Source organism: Homo sapiens, chromosome 10 (genome assembly GCF_000001405.40).
Source record: "Homo sapiens chromosome 10, GRCh38.p14 Primary Assembly".
Lineage (NCBI taxonomy): Eukaryota > Metazoa > Chordata > Mammalia > Primates > Hominidae > Homo > Homo sapiens.
The window spans coordinates 4,004,683-4,016,975 of NC_000010.11; the positions used below are offsets into that span (position 1 = coordinate 4,004,683).

General features: G+C 44.6%; 1 annotated feature.

Annotated features, from left to right (window-relative positions):
- Window positions 9,168-9,247: an enhancer, noted in NCBI's record as "active region_2921". NCBI's record gives its function as "activates an Ori minimal core promoter by ATAC-STARR-seq in GM12878 lymphoblastoid cells {active_cell/tissue: GM12878}" and the evidence as "EXISTENCE:reporter gene assay evidence [ECO:0000049][PMID:35858748]".

Below are 12,293 nucleotides of genomic sequence, written 5' to 3' on the forward strand. Positions count from 1 at the left end.
CATCCTCCAAGGTAACCCTTTTGTATTTCAGCTCCCTCTTATTCCAGTTTATAGAACTGGACAGTGATAGATGGGATGGCAGAGTGACTGCGAAGGTCTCTAATCCTACAAGCGTCTCGATTTCCAAAGGGACAGGCTGCGCCTGATGGCGTGTCACGTTCCCACGCCTCTGCTCCTCCAAACGGTGCCGAGGTGCACGTCAATAACTCAATTACAAAATCTTTGGTCCTTGCTCTCTGTGAGGTCCAAAGTTTAGGAAAAACACATGTACTTTTGATATGTTTTACAAAGTTAGTTCTTTGAAAGTTGATTATGGGTAATAGGACTTAATGAGATGCCTCCTTTGGGGACCTGCATAAATAAGATCAAAGGCTCTGAGTCTGGACCGTGGTGCCCCTCCCGCAGCTGACCTAGGAGCACCAAATTCAACCTCCCAGGGCCTGCCTTAACCTCTTTGGAAGTCATTGAATCACCAGATGTGATATCATGAGTCTGGGCCCTGGGCCCACGTCCCTCACATGCAGCAGTGTCCGGAGAAAGGGCATGGGCTTTAGGGACAGCCCGGCCTGCGTTCACGTTTTGGATCTGCGACTGTGGATGGCTTTGGTTATTTTACCTCTTTTGTGAAATGTTTAACTTTCCTTCTAAAAAGTGAACTCCTTCAAGGAAGGGGCCCAGTTTTTGTATCTTTAAAGCTTTAGCTAATACAATAAACGGATGAGTTCCTGAATGATGGAGGAGTGAGCTGGGTATGGGGAGGCCAACCCTGATCGTTCCCGGCAGCCCACTGTGCAGCTGGTCACTGTGGGGATGCAGGACTCACATGCAGTCTCATTCACCTTTGCACAGACATCTTAATGCTGGCAACACCACATCTTTTACAAATCAGATTTGGTTTTAGACGGAATCAAGAACTTGCCAATAAAGGAGGTAAAGGAGGTGAAATTCAAGCCTGTGAATGTCTTGGGGGCTGGAGTTTTAGAAATGGCTGATCACGCCCAACACATAGTGACCCCTATGCTTTTCAATAATCAAAGATGAGAGAGCCTGAAAAGATCCCCAGGTTCTTGGAGGAAAATAAAAATGCTCCAAGAACGACCTAGACTGGAGCCTACAGATTAAGGTAAATTGGGGCACCTGGCCCAGTCCAAGTTGGTGAAATGAAGAAGAGAGAAGACAGATGCTGATAGCCAGATAACCGTACTGTGAATCCGCCCCCCTCAAAATAACATCAGCTTTCAATGCCTCGTCCACAGGGAGAAAGTATAGCTTTTCCTTTAGCTTGGTTTGTTATATCTGCTTTTATCTTGTCCTGTAGCAGGAATAGCATTTGTGGCTTTGCAGTAATATATTTACAATAAATGGCTCATGCCATTTTCAAATGTCTCAGCATCACAATGACATTTGGCCACCTGAAAATGACATTTATTGCTTTGTTGAGTCCAAAGTCGTGAGCCTCATCCTGATCTATTCTATGGACTTTCCGTCTTCATGAAGACTTCTGCTTTTTCTCCTCTATTGGAAATGTTTATTTTACTTCCCAGCAATAGGCAGGGAAGATCTCACTCGCAGGCTTATTTTAAGTTGCTTATTACTGTGTGTTCTGAAAGTTGTTTCCTTCCTCTTCCATGGGGCCGGCACCCACGCAGCAACATTTTACGGTTTATAGCAAGCGAGGGCACATGTACATTTTGGAACCAAACCTTTTGGAGTAAGTTTGTTTTGCTCTTGAGGCAAATTTCAAGCCGAATTTTTGTTTTCTTTTTTTTTTTTTTTTTTGGGACGGAGTCTTGCTCTGTCACCAGGCTGGAGTGCAATGGCATAATCTCTGCTCACTGAAACCTCTGCCTCCTGGGTTCAAGCGATTCTCCTGCCTCAGACTCCTGAAGAGGTGGGATTACAGGCGTGCATCACCACACCCAGCTAATTTTTGTATTTTTAGTAGAGATGGGGTTTCACCATGTTGGCCAGGATGGTCTCCATCTCTTAACCTCATGATCCGCCCGCCTTGGCCTCTCAAAGTGTTGAGATTACAGGCATGAGGCACCACGCCTGGCCTCAAGCTGAATTTTTAAAATGGCATGTATGTGAAAGCTACTTATTCATGTTGACAGTGAACACATTGCTGAAGAAAGACATTCATCTGGTACCTTGTATCATCAACACCACAACGCAAATGGTCATTTGGTCATAAAAGAAAAATTTCAAAAGTGAATCTTAAAGCACCACCTCCTGGATACAACCTTATCAGTGTAATTCCACTGTAAAACACACTTATCTCAAATGCACGACATCAAGTAATTGTTACTCAAACTGATGCAACTATGACCTGTAATGACGTGTGGTACACTGATGATGAGACTGTTGTCATTGGCATCAAAATCACGAAAATTTGTCTAAAACATTCTGAGTTGATAGATCGCTTGCTTTACCTCATCACAGAAGTATTTGTTCACGTCATTAATAATTGCTTACTAATAAGCTGAACTTCTCCCTGCTTGGGATGGGAGGTCTGCTTGGCAGAGCCGGACGCCTGAGCATGTGTCTGATTTTCCTTAAGTGATCTATGTGGTGAAGAGGGCTGTGGGGGACCATTGCAGACCCCACTGCACTAAGCCTGCTAGGTGATTTTTACCCAACAGTTCTCCTGGAGACCTGCTTAATATGTCCTTAAAGCCATTTAGTTCAGTGCCTGGGGGAGGAAAGTGGTCTTTATTCCCCAGCTCATACTTTGGGTACCTTATCCTCTCATTTTAGATTCACCCTCATCTTCACCAGCACACCCGCCCCTCACTTTGCCCTTTAGCTTCCCCAAGTTCGTGTACAGTGAAGCTGCTCCCTCCATCTTCTCAGAATCTGGACCTAGGGATTCCCGTAGTAGGTTTCTAGGAAAGGAAGACCAGGGCGCAGCACTGACAACCGGGATGGTTTTGCACGTCACCTGAGACCGTGAGAAATCATCAAGAGTCCTGCGGAGCCACCCTCAGTTGGTAGCTCATGGGCTATGAGTCTGGAAATTAAGGGAAAAAATGTTAGGACAAAAATAACAAAGCATAAGATCCTGGTGAAAATATTGAGCTTCCCAGAGGTTAAAAGCGTAGTCATTGCCACTGTGGTGAGAGAGTTATAAGGAGTGATGCTGATCGAAGTGGCCAATATTGGCGTTAATTCCCAAGTGGCTGATTCAGTTACTAGTGAAGAATCAGTTTATTCAGGTGGCCCTGTGACTTGAGGTTGGATAAGGGGCTTTTGTGTGGGGTGAGAAGCAGCAGCTAAAGCCCCTGCTGAGCACTCCATGTCTGCCACCTTATTTAATCCTGAAAACAATCCAACTTACAGATAGGCAAATGGAGAATGGCATCATTTGCCCAGCATAGCCCAAAAACTATGTAGGAGAGCCAGGCATGAAACCCAGGCATGACTTTAGAATGTGCTTCTTTCTCTTAACTATGCTGCTTCACCTGGAGTGGCGGCTGAGAAGGTTTGAGCATGGTCGCTATTAGCTAAAGAGACAGACGCTCTGGAAAGGAGCACACGATGTCATGTAATTATAAAACTAATAGGACTTGCCAGTGTTACTCATTCAATTCCCATGGCTTTTTGAAATGCATGCTTTTGCTATTCCCTATTTTATAGGTGTGAAAACTCAGGGAAGTAAATTAATCAAAGCCATGATGGGAGAGGCTCCTGCTCTGTGTGCTTGTGTGCTATGGATAGTAAGACGTGCACCATTTCCATTTTTCCAGAGAACTTCATCAGACAGAGTGGCTCGATGGTCACCAACTCCACCTCTTCATCTTTCTGAGCCCAGAGCAGTATTCAAAGGACCTCTTACAGTTAGGCATGACATAGGACTGAGGCCCTGTCTGCTTGATGTAGGGAGAAGGAATGTGTACCACTTCCAGGTTTGGGCCAACAAAACCCCCATGAGAAATGCCTCATATGCTATTCTGATCTGCTACTTTGGTGTAGTAGAGTTTGGTGAGTTGATAGCCACAAGTGGACAATGTAGAGGAAAAGAGGGAAAAAGCCTGGGTCCCTGAATCACTGCCTGGAGGGAAGCACCCTGCTAATTAAGAGCCCTTGCTTTGGACACGATATGAACAAGAAATACATTCCACAGTTGGGATCTGCTGAGATTTTGGAGTTTATTTATTATTGTGGCCATCTTCCTTTAACTAACACAGCTATACAGTCAGTCATCTGGGATTCGAACATAAGCTATCTAGATGCAGGCTTGTTCCCAACCACCTCACTGAAATAAGCAAAATGGAACAAACAGTACAGTCATGAGCTGGGTGTAAAAAAGAGAATGTAACCAGCAGACTATTGTAAAATCAAAGCATTATATTTTCTTTCAAGATTAGAAAACTTGTCACTAATAAAATAACAATAATGATTTATTCACAGTTTTAATTCTATGTGCTGAGAACTGAGCTTGACTGCGTTTGATCCCCCTAACACCATTTATAGTAAGTACCATGCTATCCCAGCTTTACAGATAAGGACACCAGTGCTTGGCAAGGCTAGGTAGTTAGGCCACGGTAATAAACTAATAGAATAAAGAGCCATTTGTAAAACCCTGATGCATTGATGGCAAATAATGTGAATACACGCAGGGACTTTCGGGGATATTTCTTTTCTTTCTTTTTTCTTTTCTTTCTTTATTATTGAGACTGAGTCTTGCTGTGTCGCCCAGGCTGGAATGCAGTGGCACAATTTCGGCTCACTGCAACCTCTGCCTCCTGGGTTCAAACAATTCTCCTGCCTCAGCCTCCTGAGTAGCTGGGATTACAGTTACATGTCACCACACCTGGCTAATTTTTGTGTTTCACCGTGGGGTTTCACCATGTTGGCCAGGCTGGCCTGGAACTCCTGACCTCATGATCCACCTGCCTTGGCCTCCGAAAGTGCTGGGATTACAGGCGTAAGCCTGGCCCGGCCTGGGGGATGTTTCTGACCGCAGCTGTTACTAGCCTCAGCCCAGGAAGGGTTTAATGTAGAATGGGCCAGGAGAGAACTCTGAGGAAGTGGGATCCACTCCAGACTGTGGCTAAAGAGAAAGAGGTCTGTAGCGAGGAAAGGCCTTGCCTGGGGCAGTCAGATGTGTGAGTGTTTGTGCATGTGCTTGTGTGTGTGTGTGCACATGGGTCTGTGTGAACAGTTATTGGACAAATCTGTAAAAAGTCTGTCCATAGTGCTGTTTAGTTTTTCAACTAATTTATTTTCTGAAGCTGTCATCTAAAAAGCAAAAGAAAACAAAACAAAAACAAAAAGAAAACTTCTTCCAGGATTGAAAGCCATGCATTCCCAAACTAAATTTATGAAAATCCCTAGAATAGGACGTTAATAGAGTCTACTCCACAGCTATCATCTTGATAGGAATAGGAACTAAACTCCTAACTGAAGAGGAAATGTGTTTGCTTTGGATATTTCTAAATGAAATATATCATTATGGCTCTGGGTGAGAGCCTTAGGCTAAGTGCTAAGAAGGTAGGGAGCTTAACCTAAATCTCCCTTGTCCACATGGCACTCACAGGTCAGTGAAGCACACGCTTTATATAAAGATGACGCAGTCGCATGAGGAAGGGATGTCCTGGCTGCAGCCATCTGCAACTGTTAATACGTTCATCCACGAGGTGTCCTTATTCATGTGTTGCTGTCTTAATAACATAACAGATATTTTAGAGGTGAAAGCTAATAGACATACACTGTTTAATCATCTTTTTTACAAAAATGTTTTATTTAAAAATAGACATGTGGTCTTGCTATGTTGCCAAGGCTGGTCTCAACCTCCTGGGTTCAAGAGATCCTCCCACCACCCCCTCCCAAAGTGCTGGGATTACAGGTGTGAGCCACCACACCCATCCAGTCTCTTTTTCATTTTTATGTTTTTGAGACGGATTCTCCCTCTGGCACCCAGGCTGAAGTTTAGTGGCATGATCTCAGCTCACTGCAGCCTGCGCCTCCTGGGTTCAAGTGATTCTCCTGCCTCAGCCTCTCAAGTAGCTGGGATTACAGTTGTGTGCCACCACACCTGGCTAATTTTTGTATTTTTAGTAGGGATGGGGTTTCACCATGTTGGCCAGGCTGGTCTAGAACTCCTGACCTCAAGTGATCCCACCGCCTCAGCCTCCCAAAGTGTTGGGATTACAGGCTGGGAGCCACCGCACCCAGCCAATTATTATTATTAGTAGTAGTAGTAGTAGTAGACGAGAAAATAGAGGAAGCCCTAGAAACCAGCCAAGGTCATTTTATCTTACAGACAAAATTATGAATGAAAGCTGGAGTCCACACACACTCACACTCACACGCACATCCACAACTCTTCCTAAAGAAAATTGGAAAGGAAGATCTCTAAACCCAGCAACTCTAGATGAGATAGAAATGGAACCAAAGAGAAAAATAAAACAAGACCATCTACGTTAATGGTCAGCGTCCATTCCTCCTTCTCTCCATGTCATTTCCCACACCAATCATTCTTTGTGATACTAATTCCTCACACTGCCTCAGTGAATGAAGGTAATAGATGAAAATACTCGCCAACAGGAAGAGAGAGGAGCTCATGGCTTGGCAGCATGTATCTGTAAAAGGCAATAACCAGAACAAAGAGTCGGTCTCCTAGATCTTCAAGGAGAGGCTTTGAATAATGTATGTGACTCTACCATGAAAGTCAAAAAGGAGTGTTATGCAGGCCCTAGCAGGGGGCGCTTACCATGCATTTTCTGCCTGGTGGCCTGATAGGGAGGAAGGAATCCCTTACCTCACAGGAGTGTCACTCATGTAAAACATGGCAAAAATCCTAAGCAGCACACATGCTTATCTAAGTAAATTATTTATTTAAATCATAAGGAAAGAAAGAGGTCACAACTGAGTCAACTCAATTTCATAAATTCTAGAATCTATGATTCTAGATCTGATCTAGATCTAACCCAGATCTAGATCTAGAATCCAGATCTGAAACATACCTTTGGGCTTTCAGAAAACATTAGAATGCAAGCAAGCAAGCAAACAAAACACACCAATTGATCGATAAACTAATTATGGATAAAAAGCCTGGCAAGGGGTGGTTGGTGGAAAGATTCTAGACCTGGTGGAATTGCAGGCAACCCAGAAGTTCTCTCTTCAGAGGGGAGGAAACCTCTGGTTGGACCCCAATGGCTCCCAGGGGTGCATTTGTTCCTTATCCTAAAATAGCAGAGAGATGAATTATGAAAAATAAGAATACCTGAAACCAGATAGGGAGTACAACGTCCGAAGACAGCCTGAAACCAGATAGGGAGTTCAACATCCGAAGACAGCCTGAAACCAGATAGGGAGTACAACATCCGAAGACAGCCTGAAACCAGATAGGGAGTACAACATCCGAAGACAGCCTGAAACCAGATAGGGAGTACAACGTCCGAAGACAGCCTGAAACCAGATAGGGAGTACAACGTCCGAAGACAGCCTGAAACCAGATAGGGAGTACAACGTCCGAAGACAGTCTACATGTGCACATAGACACTAAGAAATCTTATTTATATGTGTTAGAATTAAATGGCCTGTGGGCTGCAGGGGACCTGGATGGGCAGGACCTGGCCTAGGGCTGCCCAGCAGACCCTGCACAATGGTGGACACCCCTGTGCTGTCCCACGTGGCAGCCAACAGCAGCTTATCCTTGAGCACTGGGAGTGTGGCCAGTGTGATGGCGGGGGGCTGGATTTCAAATCATATTTAATTTGAATTTTTAAAATATAAATAGTAGACACAGGGAGCTGGTGGCTACTATATCAGAGAGCATAGATACAGACTAATTCGACTATATTTATTTTTAATTGAAAACACAAATGTCACAATTAATTAATATGTATCATGAACCTGTGGTGTACGAAGTGCTCCAGAAAGCGCTTGCCTCACAATACTGCTGTTCTGTGGTGGTGAAGAGCTGAAATCCACACATTCTTCAAGCTTTCCTTCCGTATTTCTGTCTGTCCTGATGCTCTAGAACCTCCAAGCTCTAGAACCAAAACAAAGGCAGGGTATTGTCATGGATGACGTTTAGGGAGATTGGCAGGAAGTAGAAAATCATTTGCAGAGCTAGCTTGATTTAAATTTGAGGTATCTGTGGCGACCCAAATAATGTGCATGTAGACATTAAGAAATCTTATTTATATGTGTTAGAATTCAGTAACGCAATGCATCCTGCACTGCAGGTACTTCTTTACTTGAAAATAATCACTTTTATATTTTCTGTTCATAAGATACAATTCATGTTCTTTCCCTCCTTTCCTGTCCTTCCTGCCTTACTTCCTTTCTTTCCTCTCTTCTTTCTCTTTCTTTTTCCTTCCTTCCTTCCTTGCTTCCTTCCTTCTTTTCTTTCTCCCTCTCTCCTTCCTCCCTCCCTCTCTCTCTCTTTTCTCTCCCTTTGTCCTTCCCTTCCCCCTCTCCCTTCGTCCTTCCCTTCCCCCTCTCCCTTCCCTCCTCCTTCCCTTCCCTCCCATCCCTTGCCCTCTCTTCCCCTCCTCATCCCCCTTTTCCTCCCCTCCTCTCCCCTTCCTTTCCTTTCTCCCTCCTCCATTCCCCCCCACCCTTTCCACACCTCTCCTCCCCTTCCCTCCCCTCCCCCTCCTCTTCTCTACCCCCTACTCCTTCTCCCCCTCCCCTTCCCTCCCCTCCCCTTCACCGTCCTCCCTCTTCCTCTTTCTTTCCTTTCTTTTCTTTATTTCTTTCTTTACCTTCTACCCCTCTTCCTTCCTTCTCCTCCCCACTTTGTCCTGCTCTCCATTACCCTTCCTCTCTCCTCCCTCCCTCCCCCTCTCCCTCCCTCCCTTCCTGCTTCCCTAGGCTATGTTTGGGGTATGGAAGTCATACCTGTGGACATTGCTTAAAAACTTTGCACTGGATAATTTATTTTTGCTTTCATGAGACAATATTGAAAAACGGTTTCAAGAGGCAGCTTCACCAACAAGAATGGTTTTGGCTCCCGTGCTTTGGTGCATTTGGCATCGTGGTTAGAAATGCTGTGCTTGACAGGGACACGCCAGCTACCTGATGTGGACGTGGTAACAGCAGACCGTGGGCGGGTGTGAGGCAGGACTTTCCCTCCACTTCCCCAGCAGCTTAGACTATTTGGTCTCCAGCACACGCGCTCACAAGTGACTTGGCAAAGCTTACCTTTTGCCATACATGTGACTTTCTGGAGTGGCTTCTTCCTCTCTGTTCACAGGAGCTTGGGAAGCCACTTTGGGGCATCCCAGGGGGTGGGAATGGCGTCCTATCCCTGGGTCATGTCAGGTGGGGCCCTGCCCAGGGACTCCCTTCTCTAACCCCGAGGCTTTCCTTCCACTCTCTTGGCCTCGTCCCAGGGTCTTGGCTGCCAGAACTGAAGACGTGATGGTGCCTGATGTTAGCAGACGTTGAACATTTGACAGAAACGTTCTTGTAGGGGGAGGAGTGAAACAGAGAGCTAATAGGAAAAACAGTTTAATAAATGAATAAGTGAGGTTTAGGACCAGAATTAGAATCGGTTTCTGAGTCAGCCTCAGGATTAGAGCTGGGAGAGAGACTGTCACAACATAGCACATCACTGGTTTTGGTGATTTTATTTTCTGTCATTCCTAATAATAAAACTGCTACAGACCAAACACTCACTGAGCCTAAGCCGCCAGCAGCTGCAGTTACTGCAACAGGATTTCTGCTATTTAGAAACACTTCACTACATTTCTTTAGAAATTTTGATAAAGGTGGGCCTACATTGACCACACGAAGACCTTTGTGGTATTCAAAGTAACGTGACATACTAAAGCCAATGACTTACTTATTTAATGTAGTGACACACGGTTTATACTAATAATCTACTAATTACTAAACTTTAATTAGTACACTGTCTATCTTTTTTATATAAATATATATCTTGTGGTTTCATGTCGTCATGTCTGGCCCAAAGTCAACATACTCATATGTGTTGAATGATAAGGGTTTTAATTTATTATCATTATTATTGCCAAACAAATTGTCTATCTTTGTCATTGGCCTTTATAGGCACATGATTCTTCCTTTACAACTTTGTTTTTTGGTTTATAAAAATATTGTTTCTTACGTTTTAATACCTTGGAGCATGTGAAACCAAAAGAGGATTTAATTAAGACCAATTTGTTCTCCATGTGTGATGTCGTTGATGTATTCTTCTTAAAGTTATGTGAGATGCATGGGACAGACACAAGGAGCCCCATTCAGCAGCAAGACATAAACAGATTTGGTAGTTTCCTAAAGGTGCATCCCTCGCTGGTGGCAGATCTGGGTGTGAATGCGTCCTCGGTGAAGCTGGGTCGGCTCCTGGGAAGCTTAGCAACTCAGACACAAAGGTCAGAGCCTATTCCTTCACCACTGCACATTGTCTAAGAGGAGGTTGCAATGCATGCCATAGTCTAAAGACTTAAATGTTCAGAAGTCCTGTCTGAAGAAGGATAGAATCATCTTGCCTGCCCCAAATCTTTATCTTTAAAAATCACACTTCTATCTTCAGAGTTACCGGATGGCCTCAATTGAATTATGATGATCAGATTTTAGGACATGAACTAACAACAAATTTTCTAAAATGTATAAAATGCACCTATTATGCATAGGTCTAGAGATCACTAGAATGTTAGCAGGAAAGCTGCAGTTTTACCTGTATGGGCTAATTGCTGCATTTAATTTCATTAGCCAGTGGCGTGAATAACAACTTGTTTTGGCTTCAAACGTTTTGGTCCTAGATGAAAGAAAGTCATGCATTTCCCATCGGTATCATAGTAGAGTACAATTTATGTTTGCATGGCATATGATACTTTCACAATATTATTTATTTTTCTAAAAAAAATACATGCTTGGCTATTTCAATAGGGCATGATGTCCTTACATAGTTGTGCCTGTGTTGCTATGGCCCTGACAGCATCACTCAGGGTTGTTGTGCGGAGCTGTATACTCTGAGTTGTCACGTGGGCATTAGAAACACTGCATGCACACACCCACTCAGCACGCAGGCCTTCTTTCAAATTAAGTAGAAGGTAGTCTGCAGTGAGGAAACATAGTTTGTCTGTGTATAGAACTAGAGAGCTGAGGCCGGGCATGGTGGCTCATGCCTCTAATCCCAGCACTTTGGGAGGTCCAGGTGGGAGGATCACCTGAGGTCAGGAGTTCAAGACCAGCCTGGCTAACATTGTGAAACCCCATCTCTGCTAAAAATACGAAAATTAGCCGAGCATGGTGGCACATGCCTGTGATCCCAGCTGCTCGGGAGGCAGAGGTACGAGAATTGCTTGAACCTGGGAGACGGAGGCTGCAGTGAGCTGAGGTTGTGCCACCACACTCCAGCCTGGGCAACAGAGCAAGACTCTGTCAAAAAATAAATAAATAAATAATAAAATAAAATCACTAGAGAGCTGAAATGAAATAGAGACAAATATGATAGTCGGGTTTCTATGAAACATATTTATAAAATTAAAAGTAAGTGAAGGTAGTCAGGATAGGCCTCCTGGAGAAGCAGATATCAGTGGTGCTTGGAAAAACATCATGGAATGTATCAGGCCTTTAGGTCCGCCATGTTCTCAATGTTTGTGCCTCTTCCAAATTCACAGGTTGAAGCTTAACCTCCAATATGGGAGTGCTGGCCGGGGGAGGGCTTTAGGATGTGATTCAGTCATGAGAGTGAAATCCTCATGAATGGGATTAGTGCCCTCATAAAGGAGTCCCCAAAGAAAAATCATTTGCCCCTTCTACCAGGCGAGGACACAGAGAGAAGGCATGGTCTATGAGCCAGGAAGCGAGGCCTCCCCAGATATGAGTCTGCTGGTGCCGTGATGTGGACGTCCGGCCTCCAGAACAGTGAGACATCAGTGTCTGCTGTTGATAAGCCACCCAGCTGTGGTATTTTGTTACAGCAGCCCAAAGAGACTAAGACCACAGCAAATGGAAGGAGAGGCTCCTCAGTGTGTAAAGCTTTGTCACTTTTGGGGGGTGATTAGTGAGACAGAATGACTGGACGAATCTCACTTCGGTCACAGTGAAGCATCCTGCCCTTGGCACTCGGTTGCAGGGCCAGAGTCTGTCTGCAGCCTCTAGTCGGGACTGGGATTCCCAGGGGCTTCTTCGAGCTTTGGCCTCCCATTGGTCACTGGAGAATGAGTGGCCCAGAGCCTCACACTATTTGACTGTGGGACAGCTGAGGTACAGATGCGTTTTCCTTGGAGAGTTGTAAAGAATTTTAAAATCAATAGTTAAGCATTGAAAAGTCCCAACTTGAGCTTCTCTCAACAAAACGTAATTTTCTAGAC